This window comes from Homo sapiens, chromosome 15 (assembly GCF_000001405.40).
Source record: "Homo sapiens chromosome 15, GRCh38.p14 Primary Assembly".
In the NCBI taxonomy this organism is placed as follows: domain Eukaryota; kingdom Metazoa; phylum Chordata; class Mammalia; order Primates; family Hominidae; genus Homo; species Homo sapiens.
Window position 1 is genome coordinate 99,495,825 of NC_000015.10, and position 24,130 is coordinate 99,519,954.

Consider the following 24,130-nt stretch of genomic DNA (forward strand, 5'->3'; position numbering starts at 1 on the left):
TCCCTTGGGGCTGATAACATGGCCTGTGCAGAGATCCTGTGGAAAGGGCTGCTCCTCTGGAACTGCATGCACAAAAGGGCCTCCCATGCAGACCCACAGGCGCAAGGAGATTGCTGAGCTGCTTTGGGCAAAAGCAAGCGGGAGGGGAAGTAATGCGCTTGTAACAAAGTGACTGAGCCCCAAGATAAGGGTGACTTCAAGAGAATCAGTGCCACCCCTCCATCCCAGTGGCAGGGTAGGGGTCACTGCTGGCCAGACTTGAGAAACAAGGAAGCAACCCGGAAGAGGCCGGTCTGATGCAAAACACAGAGAAAGAGTCCACATTTGTAATTGAGATGAGAGAAGGAGCTGCATTATTTATGAACGGCTGAGCCCAGAGTTAACAAGGAAGGAGGAGGCCTTTAGAGGGGAAAGTGGTTTCAAAAGCATCCGTATTTCACTGAAAAAAAACACACACAAACTATGATTTAGAGTGTGCTGAGGTTTAGAACCGGAGGTGACTCTAGTGCAGTTAAGACCACGGGGGGAGGACGAGGGTGTGGGCAGGGAGGGCAGAAGGACAGAGGGGCAGGGGCAGGGTGTTCCCGCAGGCCCCAGTGAGAGAGGGGCATGTGGGGAGGGGGCTGCCCCTGGGGATGAAGCAGTGTCTATACATGTGCACGCTCGCACGCTCACATTCCCCAAGTGTGCAGTGTGTGTGTAAGAGGGCGTGTAGGCACTTGGAACAGACGAAGGGACAGAGGGAGGGTGCCCCCACTAAAGATAAAGAGCCTTCTGGGGCTTGTGTGCTTGCCAGCCTAATCTTCATAAGAACTTGAGCCAAAACTTTAAGAAGAGGGGTTTCTTCAATTTTTTTTTTAAATTTAAGGTATAATTTATGTAGAATAAAATGCACATCTCTTCAGTGTTCAGGTTTGACAATTGCATATGCTTATGTAATCACCATCAAACACAAGATATAGAACATAACCATCAGCCCAGAAAGTTCCCTCATGTTCCTGGCCACCTTTTGACTTGTACCAACATAGATCAATTGTGTTTGTTCTAGAGATTCATATAAATGAAATCATACTGTATATACTTTTTTTGTGTCTGGCTTATTTCACTCAGCACAATTTTTTTTGAGGTTCATCCTTGTTGTGGGTCTAACAGAAGATGGATTGTTGACGAGGCCTGGTGGTTCATGCCTGCAATCCCAGCACTTTGGGAGGCTGAGAGGAGAGGATCACTTGAGGTCAGGAGTTCGAGACTAGCCTGGCCAACACGGTGAAACCCCGTCTCTAATGAAAATACAAAAATTAGCCAGGTGTGGTGGCATGCATCTATAGTCCCAACTACTCGAGAGGCTGAGGCAGGCGAATCGCTTGAACCCAGGAGAGGGAGGTTGCAGTGAGCCAAGATCGTGCCATTGCACTCCAGCCTGGGGGACAGAGTGAGACTCCATCTCAAAAGATAAAAAATAAGATGGTTCATTGTATTGCTGAGTGATGTTCCATTAAACGGAGATGCTGCATTTTGTTGATCCTTTCTGTTGACATGCCTTGGGATTGTTTGCAGTGTTTGACTCTTATGAGTATGGCTACTGTAAACATTCTTGTATAAGTCTGTGTGTAGACATTTGTTTTCATTTCTTTTGGGTTAATAACTAAGAGTGGAACTGACTGCTGGGTCATGGGGTAGAAGCATGTTTATTTACTGCCATAAGAAACTGCTAGACACATCTTCATCCACAATGATAAAGAGTTCCAGTGTCTCCACACACTTGTCAATGTTCATCGTATTTCACCTTAGCAATTTTAGTGGACGTGAAATGTTATCTTATTGCAATTTTAATTTGTGTTGTCCTGATGACTGGGGACATTGAACACCTTTTCAGTGCTTACTGATCATTCATTTGTCCTGTGAGATACCTACTGAATTCATTTGCCTGTTTAAAAAATTAGGCTGTTCATGTTTTTTGTTGTTGATTTGTAGACATTCTTTATATATTCTAGACCCAGAAAAGGAAGGTTTTTAAAAGTAAAACAGTAGCCACTGATCATGATATCCCGGTCCTTTAAGCTGAATACCTGCCACCCCTCCCATTCCACCTCATATATCACTTTGGGTGGTGTGCTGACTTTAGAATGCACCCACTGTCACCCAAATGGCTGAAATGCTAAATTCTGTTTAATCAAATTCAACTGACTCGTGAAGATCCATTTCTACCGAAAGCAGAAAACAAAACAAATGAACCAATAAAAGCAACGAATCTTACTGCTTCCAGGTAAACTCTCTCCCATTTGACACTTAATCTTTGTATAATTACTCTGGCCATTGAGGATTTCATTTAATTAATCACAGGGTAAACTCTTTTTCAGAGTTTCATCCTCTTGAAAGTCCTCCTGTCCCACCAAGGGATAGTCAGGAAGTTGTTTCTATTCCTCATGGGGGCAAAGTAGACATTCCTGGTTCTCTGTCTGTCCTCTAGTTTCAAGTCTGACTGTGTGGGAGGAACTTAGGTTGTTCTTCTGGTGTCTGGAGGTCGGCTCCACCCCTGGGCCATGTGCTCTGCCCACCGTGATCCTCTCTTGGCCTCCAGCTGCAGGGGTTTGTCTCCTACCAGGCACCAACCTCTTCCTCTCCCGCGACCCTTTTAGTACTACTGCTCCCCACTCCCATCCCACACAGAAAGTTCTAGATCTCACCCAAGCCACACAGAAACCCAGGGAACCTCCTCTATGGCATCTCAGATTCCCTCCATATCTAAACGTTTCACACCATCATTTCTCCTCTACTGAAGCCCCCCAGCATGGGTGTAGATCACCTTGCAAGGCAGTCTCTGCCTGGAATTCTAAACAGAAAGTGGAGCACAAGCTTTCAGATTCTTCTTTGGACCATCTGAAATGTCCATAATCTCTCCTGCACTCTAGGTATAGTGTCTTAATCTAATAATCTCATTAACTGAAAATGTCTCTCATCTCTGCCCCCCACATCCCAGCCCAAGAAGGGCTGTTCACCTTGCTGGGGGACAGGGAACTGCTCTTGGGTCATTTGTGAATCCTTCTCTACACTATGGTGTGTGGTGAAAACCCCATGCTTGTCCTCTAAGATTATTGTATTTAAAAGAAATGTATGCGAATTTAGGAAACCCTTTCCTCTCTTAATGGCCCGGCTCTTGCAGTTGAAATCTTGGCTTTCAGTCCTCCTGTTCTTGAGTTTATTTAAGTATCTGAAGCTCAGCATCCTGTCTTCATTCCCACTTTCCATTTCTCCTTCATTCCAGCTACTGCTCATGAAGATAATGGAAACTGTGGCTAAGTAGGTGGAAATCACAAATAAGGAGTGAAAAAAGAAAGCACATTAATATAATTCAAGGTATTAATCTGAACACATTTACTTTGATGTTAACTATGAATGACTTATTCCCTCCTCCAAAAATAAAAAAAAAAGAAGAAGAAAGAAATCGTGTATTCCTGCACTCAGCTCCAACTTGGCTCCTACTTGGCCCTCCTACATTTGCTGAGCCTCTGGACTTTCCAAGCCTTAGGCTCTCAGATCCCTTTTGTGGCGCCTGCTTGACTGTCAACTCTATGTCTGGCATTGCCTGGTGTCATGAAAAGATTTTCTCTGGTATCCAGCTCCACAGGACCTATCACTCCTGGGCACGGAAGGGGCAGGATACAAACCCTGCGGGCAGGAACTCCTAGGAAATCCTCCAGATCGATTTCTTGATAATTCAGATGAGCCTAACTAAGTTTGGATTTTGAGCTTGGTGACAGCCACCTCCAATATGGCCATCTGTAGTCCCACCTCCTAGTATCAATGCTTTGTGTGGTCCCCTTCTACATCGGATCAGGGTTGGCCCACGTGACCGATGGAGTAAGGTCGAGTGATGGTACGGCTATAAAAGACATTGTGGCTTCTGCCCTTGTCGCTCTCAAATCACTAGCACTGGAGAAGCTGGCTGCCATGTTGTGAGGACACTCAGGCAGCCCCATGGAGAGGTCTATGCAGCAAGGAGCTGAGGCCTCCTGCCACAAGCCATGTGGGTGAACCATCTTGGAGCAAACCCAGACTTACAGTCGCAGGCTAATGTGGCAGACAGGACTCATCCATCTAGCCCCATCAGCTCAGAGCTGAGCAAGTAGAGGCCTAGAGAGGTCAAATGATCCATCACCACCACACATCTGGTCAATGTCCAAGCCACACCTTGCCTTCCAGTCCCATTTTAGATAAACTGATTGATCTTCAGCTCAGAGTAGCTTCTTGCGATGGGTGTGGTGGCTCACGCCTATAATCCCAGCATATTGGGAGGCCTAGGCAGGCGGATAACTTGAGGTCAGGAGTTTGAGACCAGCCTAGCCAACATGGTGAAACCCCATATCTACTAAAAATAGAAAAATTAACTGGGTGTGGTGGCACATGCCTGTGGTCCCAGCTACTCAGGAGGCAGAGGCACAAGAATTGCTTGAACCTGGGAAGCAGAGGTTGCAGTGAGCCAAGATCGCACCACTGCACTCCAGCCTGGGCAACGGAGTGAGGATCTGTTGAGACAGATCAAAAAAAAAAAAAAAAAAAAAAAAAGGGAGGGTGGCTTCTTGGATTTCACCATTCGTGTTTCCTGTGCGCTGGCTTCTCCATCCTGTGGCGCCTGGTCATTAGCAGAGTCTAGGACATCCTATTGCAGTAGGCAGGGAGCTGGAGTGGGGTAGGGCAGGCTGATGGGCATCCTGGGCTGAGATAATGTGTCTAAAGACACAGCAGTGTGAACATGGGTGGCATTTTTGGAGAGGGGTGAGTTGTCTACTGCAAAGGAAGGCAGGGGCCATACAGAAGAGCACCTTCACTATGGCATAAAGTGACACTTCCTGGAGCTCCTGAGACAGCCAAGGGCAGGTGTCAAAGTTCCTGCCTCGAGTTCAAAACAGGACAGTGTCTGTCCTCGAAGGTGGAGGGCCCCAAACAACAAACACCCATGGGAGGGTGTGTGTTATTAGCCTGAGTATTGTGCAAGGTAACATGCCGTCAAAGCAGGCAGGGTTTGGTCAGTCCCATTCATGCTTGATCAGGGGAGATGTTTCCAGAAAATATAAAGCTGGAGGGTGCAGAAGAGAGTCCCTGCAATAGCAGATCTGGGGCTAGCCCTGATGACCAAGAATGCTGACCTTTTCGGCAAACTTTCTCAGCAGGCTCTCAACAACCTCTGCACCTGAGCTTCCCAAAACAGGCTGAAGCAGCAAAGGCAGATGGAATGTATTGATTCCTTTGGTTTTGTTTCATCTTGTTTTCATTCACTGCAGTAATCTTCTTCCCAGGAAAGCAGAGGATTTCCTGGAATAAGGATCCTAGCCCTTCTCTATAACCTGCATATGGGTATCACTTTTCAAGGCCAATTTACAGACATATGTTTCTTGCCAGTAAGTTCAAAGATGTAACCACATCAAGTGCAGAAAGCCTGGTTCTTAAAGAGAAGGATAAAGCCGAGTTGGAAGACGGTGGGTTTTCTAGCCCCAATCTCCACCTTGTTCCAAAACCTATGGTAACCCCAAGAGGTGAGGAAGGTTGAAATTTTTCAGGCTTATACAGGCAAATAACTTACTTAATTTTTTTGATTGAATTTAGTGCAGCTCCTAACCCCTTATTTACATTCAGTCACTATCAAAATTTTCTCACTGTCCTTTAAGTAAAAATGGAATCAGTTATGGATTTTTTTTATTCCTCTTTCCTCTCTTTCTCACCAGGTGTTAAACTTGAGTGAGGTGTATTCCGGGTTGGGAGGCACCGTGTGTCTGCAACCCAGACAGTCAATGTTCATTGGCCCCAGGACATTGACACCTACCCAGCTACCCCCTGTATCTGTGGCCTCTCCACTCTCCAGTTGCCAGACCTAAGCAGGTGCCCCGTGTTCTCTTTATCCCACTACCAAGGCTCTGCAGCCTGCTCTCAGGCACACCTGTCCTCTCTACATGGCATGGAAACGTTGGCTGCGCCACCCTGGGAAACTGGGGGCTCTGGGAAACCACGTGTGGCCCATCCGCTGGGGCCCCTCCATGCTTCTGGTGCCACGGCACACGTGGGCTTCTCAAGAGACTTGCTGCCCCTTTGTCCCTCCCCTTCACCTTCAATTTACTTGAAGAAACCAAAGCCTGGGCTTTGTAAAGAGTATTGTCACTGCCATGTGTTTAAAGAAATCCATTCGGAAATTCAGATGGCTTTCCCTCCCTTTCTTTGGGTAGAGGCTGCCGGCCAACAAGGAAAATAAGATACAGAAACCTTGAGAATGGGCTTCAAGTAGAGGGAAATGCCGTTTGCAACAAGTTCTTAGTAGCAAGCAACAGACACCTATTTTGGCTAATTTCAGTGAAAGGGAGTCTCGTGAAAGGCTATGGGGCAGCTCCGAATCATTTTAGAGGACACACAGGCACAGAGCTGATCTTTGAGGAACCATGAGTCAAATCACACCACAGAACAGGGCTGATGGGGAAACCCTGCCACCACCTCTGAGCACCCACACCTCGCCCACCCCAGGAGCTGTGCCTGGCTGCCACTGCTCCTGCGGCCACCACTGTCCCTTCCCTCCTGAGTCACCAGCTCTGAGTCTGGTGTTGGCACCTTCACCTGGCTGGGAAGCCCCACTCTTTGAGCCCCAGCTGCAAGGCAGGCTGGAAAAAGGAAGTATCTGACCATCACTTACCTTTCAGAGAGGTGGTTTTGCTCTTCACAAAGACTCAAAAAATAAAAAAAAAAAGAGTGAGAGACGCAATTCTCCACATAAATATCAAGATCATGCTTCAGGTGCTGGGAAACCAAAGCTCATAACAAGGGCCTCCTTTCACACAAGAAACACACTGGGGCTGGCCTGAGAAGGTTCTCTGAGAGCCTCCAAGGTGCTCCACCCAAGGACACAAACCAAGCAGCATGGAGAGGCTGAGGGACACAGAGATTCTGCCTCCAGGAAGAGGAGCAGAGGCCTGACAAAGACCAAGGAGCTGGGAGAGAACTCATGAGAGGGCCGAGAACCACAAGGAAAGCCCCTCCACTGTGGAGGAGCCTGGGGTGAGGCACCAAGGAGGGGAGCCCCTCCCCTGAGGACTGCGTTTATCCAGCTTGAAGATGGGACTGAGCTGAAGGAAAGCCCACCGTGGCTAGAAGTACTTGAGCCGTCAACAGTAAAGCTACTCACTGTGGGCGGCACCAGCCCTCCCTCCCATTGCTAGGAGTGCAACACTGGGATGAAACCAGATTCTGTGGAAAATCGGTCAGGGCCAGGAGGAGAGGGAAGAACTCAACGCTTGGATGTGGATGTCGGAGCCCCCCTCCCATCCATCTGCTTGGGGGGAGGAGGGGTGGGAAGGGCAAGGCCGAATCGGGGTAAAGGCCCCAGGTGGGCAAATAAGGCAGCTCCCCATTGGTCCACATGTTGACCTTTTGTTTGTGGCCTTTTGCCCACAAGGACAGTATTTCCACTTAAAGGTCACCTCCCCCAGGCAGCAATCATTACTGTTTTGCAGCCTGTTGGGAAAGTCAGATGTAAGCCATCAGATAACAAAGAAAAAACACGACAAGAAGAGAAACAAATATTTCAGGGCACTGCTCTTGTCATTCCTCACCCCTGAATGCACCGATCACCCTGGCCAGCAGAGATGGCTCCCGCCTCCTTGTTCAGCTCTTACGGTCACGGGGTTTGCCTTCCTCGCTGATGCCACCAGCATCCTTTGGCTGGAAACAAAACAGCCCCATCAATTCAGATTGTTCTTAGGAGCTTTCAGAGGAGATATTGGTTGCATTTAACACACAGTCGGGGCCAAAATAAAGGCTGGGTAGGTGCCCGGGTTATTCAGCGGGAAATGACATCCTGCTCAGGTACACAAATGTCATGCTCCCCAAGCCCTGACACAGGCAAACCGTCTCACAGCCTTCCTTCCCCAGGACTCCAGATTTTCCAACCGATGGTTCTCTTCTTGCCTTCAGACACAACCTGTCCCGTTTGGGAAGGCCAAGACAGGAGACCACAGTGGCAGGGAGCAAACAGGAAACATGAGAGTGGTATCACTGACCTAATCTTTTCCTTTGCAGAAACAATCTCAATTAAAATGCATCACTTCAGAAACCCTATGAAGGACCCGCTCTGTGAATTCTTTCGAAGGTCATCTTAATAATCCAAACCAGTTGCCCAACCAGGAAAGAATTATTCTCTAACATAATTGAAAACACCCACAGGCAGGTGCTTATTGCTTGTGAAAATGAAGACTCATGCATCATTGGAGCCTTAGTTCCAGAGAAGGTGGGATGTGCACGGATCTGTTCTTTTGACAAAGCAGCATGAGGAAAAAGACTCTGTGGCCATTGCCCCTAAAAATAAAGGTATCCTGCCAAGCTTCTCACTGGCATCCTCAGCTTCCCCTTTCTGAGGCTGAGATGAGGTTTCCTTGGCCTCCTCACCCCCACCACCATAGAGCAGAGAGGCCCAAAGTCTGTTCTCAAAATCACTCACATTCAAATGTGAGTAACTGACATCAGCCAAATTGGGAACCAGAGTCAAATCTGAAACTCAAAGGAAAAAGCTTCCAGATAAACTTCAGAGATCTTCACTGTGGGGAGATGGGGGGGACCAACTAGATGGAGTAGGGGATCTTTATGGCCACTGTTTCTCTGAAGGGACAGAAGGACCAGGCTCACTAGGTCTGGGTGGAAACCCTAGCTCTGAAAGTTCCTTCTTACATGGCTTTGAGATGATTACTCGGGGTGGTTCTGAGCTTACTTATTGCATCATAAAAAGGAGAGACCCATGCGGACTTCTCAGGGCGAGGATGAAGTGGGATGCTATTTGTGAAGGTGTTTGGCCCATCAAGGTGTCCATAGGACTAAAGACCCTACGCAGAAACACTCGTGGCCAGGACCGGGCTCCTCCAGGCTGTGGTCAGAGCGGGCCAGGTTCTAGTGGAAAACTCTGCCTCAGTCAAGGGCTGCTCAGGGGTTGGTGCTCTCAGTAGAAAGCCAGTCTCTGGTACGTGACTGGCACAACCTACAGGGGCTTCCAGAACCCGTCACAGCAGTGTGCCTGGCCTGCAGGGTACCTGAGCATTGCTCTCTTAACCTAGCATTTATTCATCAACCTCCTGGAGCTCCTCCTGGAGGCCTGGCTTCAGAATGAGTCATATTGCCCGACACCACACTCTTTTGTTTAGAATTGATACAGGACATGGGGTTCCTGTGAAATTAGCTTGAAATTAATTTAGCCACAATAGCTTATTGTTAGATTTAATTGTAAATGAAACAATTCACCAGGGACGTTTCACTTTGTAAACAAGCACCTCAGAGTCAGCAGGGAATTTGGGTATTTTTTTTCCTACTCTCTAGTCGCTGCATAGGTTTTTACAAAATTTGTGGCCAAGCATAAAAAGCATTTTGGACACGGCTTTGGAGGGACAGCCCACTGCCATTCGTCACCCTCTTAGGTGCCCTGGCACTGGGTAGGAGCAGTCTGCTTTCACGCAGCCTGCTGGGCACAGGAAGGTGCTCTTTGCTGCAGTCAATACATTGTCCAAAAATCACCCTGACTCCATTCCAGAATCCCCAGTGCTCCTGCAGAAGCATCAGTGCTGCTCATATTAAAGAGTCCAAAAAACAGGGTCTGGGCAGTCCAGGCTATGGTTTCCTTCAGAAGCCCTGAAGCCAGTGTTTCTTAGAACATGATGCCACACCACCGTTGGAACATACAGTTATTATCAACATATAGTTCTCATGTTAATGGTTACATGTTCATTTTAAGATGTATTAAAACAAAAATCATTCCTCAAAACTGTGATTTCATGGCAATACACATAAGTTTACATTAAAAGGCAGGTCAGCCAGGGACAGTGGCTCATGCCTGTAATCCCAGCACTTCGGGAGACTGAAGTAGGCAATTGCTTGAGCCCAGGAATTTGAGATCAGCCTGGTCAACACGGCAAAACCCTGTCTTTACAAAAAATACAAAAATTAGCTGTGCATGGTAGTGCATGCCTCCCAGCTACTTGGGAAGCTGAGGCAGGAGAATCATCTGAGTCTGGGAAGTGGAAACTGCAGTGAACTGTGATTGTGTCACTGCACGCCAGCCTGGGTGACAGAGGACACCCTGTCTCAAAAAGGAAAAAAAAAAAAAAAAAAAAGGTAGGTCAATATGAAGAAGAGTAATTTAAAATTAAAAAAAATTAAAAAGTAAATTATATGCAACTTAAAACCAGGAGATATCATCTTACACCAGTCAGAATGGCTGTAAAAAGACAAAAAAACACAGATGTTGGTGAGGACGCAGAAAAAAGGGAATGTGTATGTACCATTGGTGGAAATGTAAATTAATACAAACACTATCCAAAGGAAAATAAATCATTATATCAAAAAGTGGCCAGGCATGGTAGCTCATGCCTGTAATCCCAGCACTTTGGGAGGCTTAGGCGGGCAGATTGCTTGAGGTCAGGAGTTCAAGGCCAGCCTGGCCAACATGGTGAAACCTCATCTGTACTAAAAATACAAAAATGAGCCGGCTATGGTGGTAGGTGCCAGTAATCCCAGCTACTTGAGAGGCTGAGGCAGGAGAATTGCTTGCACCTGGGAGGTGGAGGTTGCAGTGAGCCGAGATTGCACCACTGCACTCCAGTCTGGGCAACAGAGAGGGACTTCATCTCAAAAAAAAAAAAAATTACCTGTATTTGTATGTTCATTGCAGCACTGTATAGAATCAACCTAAGTGTCCATCAACAGATGATTGGATAACGAAAATGTGGCATATATATACAATGGAATACTATTCAGCCATGAAAAAGAAGGAAATCATGTCTTTTGAAATAACATGAATGGAACTGGAGGCCTGTCTTAAATGAAACACTCAGATAAAGAAAGACAAACACCACATGTTCTCACTTATGAGTAGGAGCTAAATCATGTGTACACACAGACGTATGGTATGGAATGATAGACAATGAATATTTGGAAGAGGGGGTTTGGTGTGAAGGGGGTGGATAATGAGAAATTGCCTAATGGATACAGTCTACGTTATTCAGGCAATGGATACTCCAAAAGCCCTGAGTTTACCACTCTGTAATTATCCAGGTATTAGGTTGGTGCAAAAGTAATTGTGGTTAAAAGTAATGAGAAAACCTCAATTACTCTTGCATCAACCTATAACAAAATTACATGTATACCCCATACATTTTACAAATAAATTTTTTTGAAAAATAAAAGCTTAATAATTAAAAAAAGATGACATGTGGCAAAAATCATGACTGAAGTTTTCTAAATAACACCATAAGCCTAGCTTCTTGGAAAGTGGTCATCAGAGAGATCAGGGACATTACCTGAGAGCTTGTTATGATTTTGGAATTTCCAGCCCCGCCCCAGACTTTCTCAGTCAGCATCTGGATTTTAGGCAGGTCCCTAGGGGATTAAGCATGCATTTTAGAGTTTGAGAAGAGTAGCCTAAGAAAACCTGGGGAGCAGCGTCCCGTGGTACTGCTGACATTGCTAGGTACATCAAATACATCTAGCTGAATCCCCTCTGGCACAATTGGGTGAAGTTTTGGCCAGCAGACACAATTATTTTGAATATCTGTGGCCCCTCCTTCACTCTCACAGCAAGATGTTTTTTTCCCACTGTGTGCGACTCCGGGCCGCCTCAGTGACCTTGCTTTGCTTGCACAGAAACATGGGCTCAGCTGGCCGTAGAGTAGGCAAAAAAGCCCAGAGCATAGGACAGTCTGGGATGGCCCGGGACGACTTCCCAGTGCACACGGCTGAGCCTAAAAAGAATGCCGCAAAGACTACGTGGAGGCCGCCAGCTGCAGGGGCCAGAAGATAAGAGTGTTAATTTAGCTTGGCTGGCATCCAGAAAGCTGAGCAAAGCTAGGCCTCCAAGCTCAGGGTAAAAATAAATAAATAAAAATAAGTAGGCAGATGTTTATGCTCGCTTCGTAACACTAGCTAGCATGTATCTGGTACATCCTATGTGCCTTGTAGCAGCTCCAGAAAAGGCATCGTTGTTCTCTGTCTCGCACTGAAATCCCCAAAGGTTAGCGTTGTCACCCCATCTCACAGTGAGGGCCATGTGGCTCCAGTGGTGTTCTGCTTGTGGTCACCCAGCCCTCCTCTAAGCCCCACCACTTTCTGCTGAGAGCTGGCTTTAGGCAGGAAATGGAAACAGGCTGGTCTTTTTCAAGGCTGCGGCATAACCAAAGCCCTAGTGGATTCTGCATGGAAAGAACTCTCGGTATCCTAATAAGGTTTCAGAACAGAAAGGAGTGTCTTCATCACTCTTGTCTTTGCCAGCCCCATCCCATCAATCTTCTCTGTACTTTGACGCAGACACGATGGACTGTTATCCACGTGGCAAACTTGGAAGCACCTTGAAAGAGAGTCTAAGTAAGTTGCCAAGACGCCCGTCTGAAGGCCGGGTGCCTCTATGACAAATAGCCTGAGCAGCTGCACCTCGCCGAGGTGCCAAACGGATGAAACGGGGTCACTTTGAGAAACTGCACACGATGTGCCTGATGCACGGTAGGTGCTCAGTACGTGGGCAGTTCCTTCCCCGTCCCCTACTCCCTCTGAATGTGGCTGACCACTGTGGACCATTTCCTCCACTCACCCCACAAAGAACTAAAGAGATGAAGTCAGCCTTTGTTCAAACAGGAATGAATTCTGCCGCTGGCAAGGCAGTTGGAACACTCTCCTTTATAATGCCGATTCTCCAACATTTTAAACCTATGTCCCATTTTGATCAATGTAAACATTGTGTGCCCTTCTTCAATATTATTTGAAATTTCAAATAAAAATAAATATTGTGATTCAAAGCAAAGGAAATGAATCATATAATTTAATACACTTTATGCAACTGTCCTCACCCTGCAAGATCCTGATATGACCATCCAGCAAGGACAGCCTGGCTGCTCTCAGTTGAGTCCTTATAGATCAAGCCATTGCCGGAACATGACGAAAACACGTGGACAGCAAAACGGAACGCTATAGCATTTGAACAGCACTCTGATCGCCCTGTCCCTGGTAAAGATTTTGCCTCTCCTACCCCACAGATAGGGGCATAGACAAAGCTGGGCCAATCATAGTACCTCACCTACCCCTGGATGCAGTGATGGGCCCAGGAGGTGGGCACATGACCAAATCTGGGCCAATCATAGTACCACACCTGCCTCTGATGCAGTGATTGGCTCAGGGGATGGGCACACGACCAAATCTGGGCCAATTCTAGTACCACACCTGCCCCTCATGTAGTAATTGGCTCAGAGGGTGGGCACATGACCAGATCTGGGCCAATCCTAGTACCACACCTGCCCCTGGTGCAGTCATTGGCCCAGGGGTGGGCACGTGGCCTAACCCTACAAGGACTTTTCCTATGGTAGGGGTGGAGGAATGTGGTCTCTCATCTCTGGTCTGGAAACTGGAAAGGGGAGCGGGAGATCCTAAAGCCCAGGCATGCTGTCTCCTGCCTCATGGAGGAGTGGTTTGAGACAGTGAAGCCCACTCAGAAAGAAAGGCCGAGATGAGAGGTAGAGAGCAGCCAAAGACGCCCCACTTACCCCATGGCAGGTACCCAACTCCCCACCCCACAGTTTGGCTTCAGGAGGTATCATTCTCTTATTTTAGCTAAATATTGTCCAGTTAAGGTTCTCTCCCACATCTCCAATCAAGAGTGGCCTAACTAAAACAAGGGGCGTGGGAGAGAGGATTCCACAATATCCCTGGACACGGAGGCACGGTCTCTCATTGCCACTTAGTTCGCACAGACCTTTCGCTGCACAGACGTGGCTTTCTTCCTCTGTCTGCATCTGCCGGTTCCTCTCAGTTTTTCTGCACCTCCCCAGATTATCTTCTTCTTCACCGCGTCCTTTTGTCCACCTAGGCCTCTGACTCTTACCTTCTTTTGGCTGTTGGTTCACACTTCCTGTAATATTTTTTCCCCTGGGAAATCAAGGTGCCCACATGCCCCTGCTCTTGGGGTTCTGCGCATGCTCCCTGGCTCTATGCTCTTGAGATGCTGGCCTGGCTGGACCTGGCTGGTCTGCCCCATCCACACACTCTAGCCAGATGCGCCTGGGGGTGGGAGGGTGGTGGGACTAAAGCCACAGCAGACTTGAGAAATACACACAGGAAGCAGCCCATTTCCTCAGAAGTTGCCCAAACTTCTGCGATACAATTTTAGCATCTGGCCAACCAAGCAAGTTGGGCCTGATACATTTATAAAATTGTTTGTTAAAGAAATCATATTCCAGAGTCCCATCTGTGATCTTTTATTTTCTGTTTGGTGTTGCACATGTTTGGGAAAAGAAGTCAATAAAAACCATCACAATTTAATTTTAATTCCCACAAATACAAGAGACCGCAGCAAGTGACATGATAGAAATCCAGAAGGTTCAGATGACAAATGCAAACTCATGTGAATGGCTGTAATGTCAACTCTGTGGTCCGCGAGCCAAGGTTTCTAGTCCCATCTAGTTACATCAGGTCAGCAAAGTTCCTCAATTTCTCTTAGCGTCTCTTTCCTCATCTGTAAAATAGAGGATACTAAGACTTTCTCTGTGAATTCAAGATGAAGTAAGTCACTAATACCACTGCTGCTCTGGCCCTAGAGTAGCCTACACCTTGTATATTTGCATAAGGAGTAGATTAGGGATGCAGTACCACAGCTGTATGTCAATTTCCAAATCTAAGTGGAGGCCAGGCACGGTGGCTCACACCTGTAATCCTAGCACTCTAGGAGGCTGAGGTGGACAGATCACTTGAGGTCAGGAGTCCAAGCCTGGCCAACATGGTGAAACCCCGAAATTCCATCCCTACTAAAAATACAAAAATTAGCCGGCTGTGGTGGTGCGCACCTGTAGTCCCATCTACTGTGGAGGTGAGGCAGGAGAATCACTTGAACCCAGGAGGCGGAGGCAGTGAGCTGAGATTGCACACTGTAATTTAGCCTGGGTGACAGAGCGAGACTCCATCTCAAAAAAAAAAAAAAAAAAAAACCACCAAAAAAAAAAAAAAAGACAAATCTAAGTGGAGCCTGTTGGGTTCAATAATGCCATAATTTGTGTTAAAATCTCAGTTAACCACATTGTGTGACATTACATAACACTGTTTAAAGTTTCAGGGAACAGTAACTCTGCTGTGATAATTCTGCCTGCAAACAAGCACCACAGTGGATTTGGAGAACTTACTAAAGCCACTGGCCATCCAAGAAGACTACAAACTTCCCATTTGTGGGGGCACTTAAAAATTACAAATTCAGTTTGGCTTTTCATTGCATTTTGCGCTATTACTTTGCATTTTAATGAGAATGGGTTTTTAAAGATTTTCAGTTATCTCAGTAGCTGGAAATTTAAACCAATCAATTTTCTACTTTAAAATTCTACTGTGATGTCTGTACACAATAAGGCTACATTTTTCACTATGGAGGAAGGGAAGGAAACCCTCATTTTACCCTTTTTTAACTTTTCTGTAAGTTTTTGCTTTAGAAATGTAAAAGGCTATTTCACACCCCAAGGCTGAGTGAGGGTTAGTGAATATACTCTTTTTGATAAAATACAGTTTTGTGGTGAAACGAACGAATAGTTTAGAAGCAGAAAAATAAGATCTTACGAAGAAAATACTAGACTTCTAATACCTCTTCTCTAAGGTCCATTCAGATTGCTGACTTTTTATAAGATGTCCAATTCTAACCCACCTAGGTACACCCAGACTTTATAAATATACACACACCTAACGCACGTCTAAAAGGAGTAAATGTGTGCTGGGGAAATATTGGAACAATGACGTTCCTGAGAGAAGCTTGTTTTTTCAAGTTATTAAAGGAAGGTGGCAAGCATTCATGAGGATATAAAAACTTAACGTCGTCTGAAGGAAACTCTTGAATATGGTTAACATCGCTGCCAAAAATCTCAGCTATGTTATGTCAGAATGTTCAATTGCAAGCTACACTTTAATGAATGGAAAGATAGGGTAACAGCAGGAAGTTTCTGCAGCAACTCACAGCAATCTTGAAAACCAAGTTCCCAGAGTTGGCTGGGCTCACTGGTTCAGGGGCTACGCTGTCTAGTTGCCTGATCTGCCAGTTAGCAATCAGGCGTACCAGGGGCCAACAAGGGAGCAGTGGGAGAGCAGGAGAGCAGGAGCTATCTGCCCTCTCCTCATTGTCCTAGCCAACACTTACATGGACAAGCAGCTCACTTTGCTCTTTCTGAAAAAGTAGATGGTCCGAGAAATACACCACTGGACTGGGAAGACAAGAAATCAATGCCACCCTGCATTAAGTACGTGACTCCCCTTCTTTTCTATGCAGCTTGCTTGCAGTGTGATGCTGCTATTTTTATCGGCTCTCTTCAACCCAGCTGTTGCTTCATGTTGACATGGCGAATGGTGTGAAACTCCCAGCAGAGGAGCGTGAATCCCAGAGGGACCCATCTTCTGTCATTTCTAGAACAGATAAAATGTCATGAGACTCAGTGGGGGATGGCGCAAGAACATTTGGCCAACGGAGCCAGTGAGAACATATCCCACATTAAAGTGACACAGAGCTAGGGGCCAAAGTTTGTCCTCAAACCCAACCGAAAGCACAGACGTCCAGTGGCCAGTAAGGATCACGAATCTTTGTGGAAAAATTGGGAGCAGGAGTCTTTGCATTTTCAGGGCAGGCCATGGTTGTTCCAGGTGTTTGACACCGTGGAGTCAAGAGGTTGGGACAACTGCCTGGAGTCCAGCCTGGAGGTGGCCCCAGAGAACCCACTTCCTTTTCCTGAGTTAGAATGTGACTTGTAATTTTAAGCCCACTCTTTGTATTTCCTCTGCGAAAATAACAGCATTTTGGCAAGACTGTGTGTAGTGGGGAAAAAGTGCCACATAAAACTTACACAATTTAAAAATACAGCTCTAATTGCAGGTTTGTTGTCCCATGGTTTGGCAAATTAGGGGGGCAAATTGGAGAGGCCCTTGGAACTTGCTCCAGGCATGAAAAGATTGTTCAGTTACACATCTGACTGTGTAGCTGGTGAACTCTTTCAAAAACTTATGAAAATAGGATTTTAGGGGCTTCCTTCTAGAAGAGCAGCTATTTTCTATGGGGGGATTATTTTGTGACTGAGTGCTCAATTTAGAATTTAAGCATCAAGGGCTTGGACTTCTCTGTACTTTTCTTTCTCCAGCTTTATTATGAGAATAAAATGATTTCTCTTCCTACTCCAAAATTTTCAGATTCTCTCAGGTCTAGATGAAATTCAGTGAAAAATCAATACCTTTTAGTATCTAAGTGAAAATACTAAATGCCAGCAAATTTTTCATTTTTAAATGATTCATTTTAAAATCTCTTAGGATTTACAATCTACAGAACTCTCAAGGACAAGAGTTAGAGCTTCTATATTTCAATGCAAACTCTGATTCACTTTAAAGATTAATAGTTTTAAGGTTTAAAAACGTCTAAGGGGAGGCTAAGGGGAGAAGGATACTGTGGATGGACACACAGTCTGTTTGACCTTCCTAGTGGGCCTTTGTGTACCGCAAGGCTGGTTAGCTAGCATCAGCTTTTTCCAGGATCCCTTGCAGCTCAGCTTTTGATATGATTCTGTTTGGGCTTTTGCACAAAGTTTGGGAGGCAGAAGTAAGGCACAGACTATGCTTTTGTTGTTTCTGTGACAAATCCCACCGAGGCCGTGTTGGATCCTGCTGCAGTATTAGCCAGTGCTGTTTCCATCTTTTTCCCCAGAGGCAAGGCACGGCACGCTCATGTTTTTGCTGGTATGGGTCAAAGTCACTGCTTGGCTTGACGGCCAATATTTCCACAATAGTTTTCTGATCCCCGGATTGCAATGAAGGGAAGGTGTCCTACAGGCGATGTATCCAGGGCAGCTTCTGGATTCCCTTGCTCCTGGTTATGGCAGCTCTCAGCACACCAGTCATGTTCCTTCTTCCCCATCCTGAGGTCTGTGCGTGGTACCCTCTGATGATTTTTTTAAAAGCATACTGTTCCTTGTATTAATTTTTTTCTGTTCAAAATAGCTAGTGTGGTTCCTGATGTCTACAAATGAACCCTAACATAGAAAGTAGGGATGTGGGGCTATGGAAAGTGGGATCTTAGCCTCAGCTGTGTCCTCACATGTTGGGATGGGCTACCCTCTGCAAAATCTCTTCCTTGGCTCTGTCCTCCTCCCATTCTGCTAATACCATAGCCTCTACCTTCACAGAGAAAAGTGGAGGCACTAACTCCTTCAACTTTTCATTTTTACCTATAACCAAATGAGTCTTATGCCCTTTATGTTCCTTTACATATTAAGAGAAAACAAATCCATCGCCAGGAATCTTGATAAAGAATATAGGGCTTTACTTTTGGTATTTCTTCAGGGTGGATCTTTGGGGGTATTACCCAGCACACACCATGGATAGCTTCCCTCAAACCCCGTGTAGACCTTTCTCCCCCGGCCACCTCTGGGCAGCATCTCCCTGCTCTCCCTCATTGACCTTGGGCTTCCTTCCCTCCATGCACCCCCTTCTCTTTCATCCTCCCCTCCACAGTGCTCTCTCTGTAAAAAGTCCCCACAGAGACGTTTGCTTTATCTGCCACCAGGCCCGCAGGTGGCTGGGAACCCCACAGCACCGTACCCTCTGCTCCTCCATAGCCTCCCAGTCAGAGAAGCTCAGGAAGGCCCTAAGCCTGAGAAGCAGAGTTCCCCTATCAGTCTGACTGCTTTTCTCATGCGAAAACTTCTGGTGAGTCACGTTTTCCTGGCCATACACCTTTATACTGGAAGCAAACATATAAACAAGTCAGATCTTTTTCAAAGCAGATGGATATAAATCTAAGAAGGCAAGAAGATATTTCCATCCATTTTTTAAAATTTAGGTGAAATTCACAAAACATAAAATTAATCATTTTTAAATGAACAATTTGCCGGCATTTAGTATCTTCACAATGTTGTACCAACCATCACTTCTATCTGGTTCTGAAACGTTTCCATCATTCCAAAGTAAAAACTCCATACCTATAAATTAGTTACCCTCCGTTCTCCCCTCACCCTTCAGCCCCTGGCAACTACCAATCTACTTTCATTTCTGTGAATTTACCTACTCTGGATATTTCATATAAATGGAGTCATACAACATGTGATCTTATGTGTCTGGCTTCTTTCACTCAGTATAATGTTTTTGAGGTTCATCCACATTGTAGCATGTATCAAAGCTTCATTCGTTTTTATGGCTGAATAATATTTCAACGCATGAATAAATCACAGTTTGTTCATCCATTCATCCATGGATGGGTGTTTGGGTTTTTCCTCCTTTCAGCTTTTGTGAGTAGTGATGCTATGAACATTCACGTATAAGGATTCGTTTGGGTACCTGTTGACATTTTAGGGGGTTTACACCTAGGAGTGGAATTGCTGGGTCCTGTGGTAATCCTGTGTTTAACTTTTTGAGGAACTGCCTTACTGTTTTCCACCATGGCTGAACCACTTTCAGTCCCACCAGCAATGCATGAGGGCTCCTATTTCTCCACACCCTCACTCACACTTGTTATTTTCCATATTTTTTATTATAGCCATTCTTGTGTGAACTGGTATCCTGTGGTTTTGGTTTGCATTTCCCTAATGACCAAGGATGCCAAACATCATTTCACGTGCTTCTTGGCCATTTATTTATTTATTTTTGAGACAGAGCCTTGCTCTGTTGCCCAGCCTGGAGTGCAATGGTGTCATCTGGGCTCACTGCAACCTCTGCCTCCTGGGCTCAAGCAATTTGCGTGTCTCAGCCTCTCGAGTAGCTGGGACTACAGGCAGGTGCCACCACGCCCGGCTAATTTTTGTATTTTTAGTAGAGACGGGGTTTCGTCATGTTGTCCAGGCTGGTCTTGAACTCCTGACCTCAAATGATCTGCTGGCCTTGGCCTCCCAGAGTGCTGTGATTACAGGCGTGAGCCACCATGCCTGGCCCATTTATTTATCTTCTTTGGGAGAACTGTTCGTCCATTTTTAACCTGGAAAGCTGATAGTCTTTAGAACTAGTGAGACTTGAGTTCAGATATGTTCAACTATTTAGAAGTGGTATGACGTGAGCACATTATTTCTCCAGCCTTCACTTTCTTCCTCTACGAAAAGCGTAGAATAACTTCCCACAGCTGCCTGCTTGACATCCTTCAGGTCAGGGTTTCAGTGGACTGGCTCAGAGAAACTTTCCTGATACTCTTCTTCTTTCCTGATAGATTCCTGTGTTGCCCTGTTTCACAGTAGCCAATCTTTTCTTTCCTAGGACTCAACACAGTTTGTAATTACATAGTCATTTGTAAGTTTTTGTCATCTATCTCCTCTACTAGATCATTCCTTCTTTGTGGTCACCAGCCATTGACTATCTTGTTCACAGCTGTGTATCCAGAGCATAGCACCATGTCTGCATCTGGAGTGTGTGTGATGTTTGTTGAATGGGAAAAATTAGTAAATTATTAAATAATATTTGTAGGGAACTTAGCACAGTGCCTGGTGCATATTAAATTAATGGTTCACAATGGGGGATTTTGGAAATGTGTTGGTGGTGATGGTAATGTTTGTGGTTATCACAATAATTGAAAAGACAATACTGGTGTTTAGAGAGCAGAGTCAGGAGCACTAGACAATACCTGTGGAGGCATCCTACCATACAAAGAATTGTCTCACGTCCCACACAACTTTAGAATATACCACCAGACATCGATATAGGGGGAAAATCTGTTTGTAATTATCTGCACTTATAATGCTGTTTTTTTTTCATATAAACAGAGAGTAACATTTCCACAGTTTTAATATGCACTGAATTTTCCAAGAATGCAACACACATAAATTTCAAAAGTTGTTGTACATTTTGTTTGAAACTCCACTGAGAGTTGTTTGCTTTTTCAGAAAAATCACATCTCCGTGAGCAATACTGCTCATGGTGAATCCTCAATATAGCACTCCCTGATCAGCCTGTATTTGTAAGTGTGATTCCACGTATTGGTGCAAAAAAACCTGATTAGTGTATTATGTCTTCCAGTCTAGGCATGCCTGAATATGTACATGTTGCAATACATATTTTATTGTAATTTTTTTGCCTTCTTCTTTGTATTGTATTTAAAGTATTATATTTAATTATTTTGAAATTATGTATATAGGTAGATTATGAAGTTTATTACAGGATTTTAGAAAAAAGCCTTTTTGTTTTAAAGAAAAACATTGAGTCAAATAGGGATTAGATGTATTAGATGTGTATTAGATACTGTCTTTCTTTTAATAATAATAATTACAGTGGAACTTTATAGGCTTTTCTGAGATAAATGGCAAAGGAAATAAAATCTTATTTTTATCCTAAGATCTTATTTTCTTCTTCTTATTGCCAAAATGCTCCTTTTCACATACATGGGGACACTTTTAATACTTTGTGCACCCCAAAATTTTGTTGGTTCAACGTAAAAAGTACATTACAGAACTTCAGAGCAAAACTTCTACAGAGCAGCCCAAAGTGAGGTTTATGCAGCTGTAATGACCTACAAGGTCTGGCTGGTGTTTGAGAAGGATGTGTTTGCTGGACTTGAATCCCGGCTCCACTCCTTAGTAACTGCATTATTTCAGACTAGTTGTTTAACTCACTGGTCCTCAGTTTTCTCAACTAAAGAATGGGGTCAATGACAGCTGTCTCTAGGGTGCTGTGTCATGAAATGTAATCAGGTATATACCAGGCCCAGCACAATGCAGTCACATGGTAGGTACCTAGTGTTAATTTTCTTCTCTAAAATTATTTTCTTCATCTCCCAAATTATTCTAATAATTGCCATCAAAGACAGATCCTACATAGAACTTCATAAATGCAAAATCATAAAATAATACATCACAGACACCACTGGCCTGGATTACACAAGTGTATTTTTATACTACATTCCATGCACTCTGCTCAATGTAAGTCTTAGTCTGTGATTATTGAACCTACAGTCTGTGCATGTGGAGTTTTCCAGGAAGTCCCCAACTTTTGCCATTCTAAAAGGAGACTGCAATCTCCAAAGGTTAGAAATAACCACCTGGCTGGGCGTGGTGGCTCACACCTGTAATCCCAATACTTTGGGAGGCCGAGGCGGGTGGATCACCTGAGGTTAGGAGTTTAAGACCAGCCTGGCCAACATGGTGAAACCCTGTCTCTACTTAAAAAAATAAAATAAAATAAAAATTAGTGGGGCGTGGTAGCGCAGGCCTGTAATCCCAGCTACTTGGGAGTCTGAGGCAGGAGAATCGCTTGAACCTGGGAGGCAGAGGATGCAGTGAGCCGAGATCCTGCCACTGCATTCCAGCCTGGGCGACAGAGCAAGACCTGTGTCAAAAAAATATTATAAGGTAAAAGTAATTTAACCTTTACATATGCAGTTTCTTCTGTCAGGAATGTTCTTTTCCCCTTCACCCTGCTGATTTCTTTTCATCCTCCAAAATTCAACTGAATCATCACGACCTCAGGAAAGTCTTTCTGGACTTCCCAGGCTAGATTTGGTCTGGATACATGTTCCTGAACACCCTGGTTCTTTCCTGTGTTGTGGGAGGCAGCTGTCTGTGCTTATAACTTGATAACATCGACTAACCCTCCTGGGACGTATATATTCCATGGGGGCAGGGATTGTGTCCTACTGCTCACCTGGGCATCCCTATCTTCTTATTCAGTGCCTGACACATACCAAAAATTCAGTACATATTTCTTGAACGAGTGCATGAATTTTCCATCAAAACCAATGAATTGATTTCAAATCAACTTTTCTACTAGTAAGATTGAATTGACTATGATACAATAGCATATTTATTTGACCTCAGTTGAGAGGTCTTTGTAATATTTTCCTCCAAATATTGTGCTAGTCCTAGACCCATATGCATTGACAACCCCGAGAGTGTGTCACCAGGATTCCACCTCCTCCGACTTTACCTTTTCTATGGGAATTCTCCTCTTTGTTGAATGTCCTCAGTTTTGACACGTGCATCCTGAACTATAGCTAGTGACAGTTGCTCTAATTGTTCAGAAGTTGTCTGAAGTTTCTTGTCTCCTAGACTCAGCCAACAGCTCCTTGAAACCAGAGAATCATTCAAATCCCCATGGAGTATTTAGCATAATAGACAGCGGACGGATATTGGTGGTTGAACACCACTAACTTATCTAACACACTTCTTACACGTTTGTAAAGTACAAAACAACTTCACCATCTGATAATTGCATCAAAACTAATAACTTGACTCTGCCTAAGGTGGTTATTTCTTTTTCTTTCTTTTTTTTTTTCTTTTGAGATGGAGTCTCGGTCTGTCACCCAGGATGGAGTGCAGTGCTGCGATGATCATGGCTCACTGTAGCCTCAACCTCCCGGGCTCAAGTGATCCTCCTTCCTCACCCTCCCAAGTATCTGGGATTACAGGTGTGCACTACCACATCAGGCTAATTTTTTTTTCTTTTTAATTTTTTTTGTAGAGATGGGGTTCCACTATGTTGCCCAAGCTGGTCTCGAACTTCTGGGCTCAAGCAATCCTCCTGCTTTGGCCTCCCAAAGTGCTGTCATTACAGGCATGAGCCATCCCACCCAGCCTGCCTTGTAGTCTGTCTCTCTCTCTATCTATCTTTTTATTTTTTGAGACAGGGTCTTGCTCTGTTTCCCAGGCTGAAGTGCAGTGACATGATCATAGCTCACTGCAACCTCAACCTCCTGGACTCAAACTATCCTCCCACCTCAGCCTCCTGGGTAGCTGTGACTACAGGCACGAGCCACAGCAGCTGGCTACTTTTTTGTTTGTTTGTTTGTTTTGGTAGAGACAGGGATCTTGCTATGTTGCCCAGGCTGGTCTCAAATTCCTGGGCTCAAGTAATCCTCCCACCTCAGCCTCCCAAAGTGCTGGGCTTATAGGCATGAGTCACTGTGTCTGGCCTACAATATTTTTAAAGAAATCTGTAAAGATAATTCAAAATGTCTGATCCAGTTAATTCTGCATATGATATTATTCAGGCCATAATTAAACAAAATATTTTATATTTTTTGTGGTCTCAGTCAATTAAGAAAATGGCCCCTAAATATTTTAAAATATCATCCTAGAACCCCAAAGAAGACAATGACCTGGAGTCCACAAAACCTGTAGGGACAGGGGACGCCTACTGAAACAGCCAGATG

The 24,130-nt window shown here is 45.0% G+C and overlaps 1 long non-coding RNA gene across 2 annotated transcripts, besides 7 other annotated features; it reads right to left on the reverse strand.

Annotated features, from left to right (window-relative positions):
* Window positions 1–1,672: 1,672 nt before the first annotated feature.
* LOC105371019 (uncharacterized) lies at window positions 1,673–14,059 on the reverse strand. Of its 2 annotated transcripts, XR_932714.3 has the most exons (4): window positions 13,757–14,014; window positions 11,319–11,397; window positions 7,593–7,701; window positions 1,673–3,296 (listed from the first exon to the last, which is right to left on the reverse strand). It is a non-coding gene; the product is annotated as an uncharacterized LOC105371019 (long non-coding RNA). The 2 variants fall into 2 exon arrangements; XR_001751710.2 differs by lacking the exon at window positions 11,319–11,397 and having other exon boundaries at window positions 13,757–14,059.
* Window positions 6,163–6,322: an enhancer, noted in NCBI's record as "active region_10155". NCBI's record gives its function as "activates an Ori minimal core promoter by ATAC-STARR-seq in GM12878 lymphoblastoid cells {active_cell/tissue: GM12878}" and the evidence as "EXISTENCE:reporter gene assay evidence [ECO:0000049][PMID:35858748]".
* Window positions 6,353–6,442: an enhancer, noted in NCBI's record as "active region_10156". NCBI's record gives its function as "activates an Ori minimal core promoter by ATAC-STARR-seq in GM12878 lymphoblastoid cells {active_cell/tissue: GM12878}" and the evidence as "EXISTENCE:reporter gene assay evidence [ECO:0000049][PMID:35858748]".
* Window positions 6,493–6,562: an enhancer, noted in NCBI's record as "active region_10157". NCBI's record gives its function as "activates an Ori minimal core promoter by ATAC-STARR-seq in GM12878 lymphoblastoid cells {active_cell/tissue: GM12878}" and the evidence as "EXISTENCE:reporter gene assay evidence [ECO:0000049][PMID:35858748]".
* Window positions 6,843–7,092: an enhancer, noted in NCBI's record as "active region_10158". NCBI's record gives its function as "activates an Ori minimal core promoter by ATAC-STARR-seq in GM12878 lymphoblastoid cells {active_cell/tissue: GM12878}" and the evidence as "EXISTENCE:reporter gene assay evidence [ECO:0000049][PMID:35858748]".
* Window positions 8,743–8,872: an enhancer, noted in NCBI's record as "active region_10159". NCBI's record gives its function as "activates an Ori minimal core promoter by ATAC-STARR-seq in GM12878 lymphoblastoid cells {active_cell/tissue: GM12878}" and the evidence as "EXISTENCE:reporter gene assay evidence [ECO:0000049][PMID:35858748]".
* Window positions 13,108–13,327: a silencer, noted in NCBI's record as "silent region_6869". NCBI's record gives its function as "represses an Ori minimal core promoter by ATAC-STARR-seq in GM12878 lymphoblastoid cells {active_cell/tissue: GM12878}" and the evidence as "EXISTENCE:reporter gene assay evidence [ECO:0000049][PMID:35858748]".
* Window positions 13,778–14,077: an enhancer, noted in NCBI's record as "active region_10160". NCBI's record gives its function as "activates an Ori minimal core promoter by ATAC-STARR-seq in GM12878 lymphoblastoid cells {active_cell/tissue: GM12878}" and the evidence as "EXISTENCE:reporter gene assay evidence [ECO:0000049][PMID:35858748]".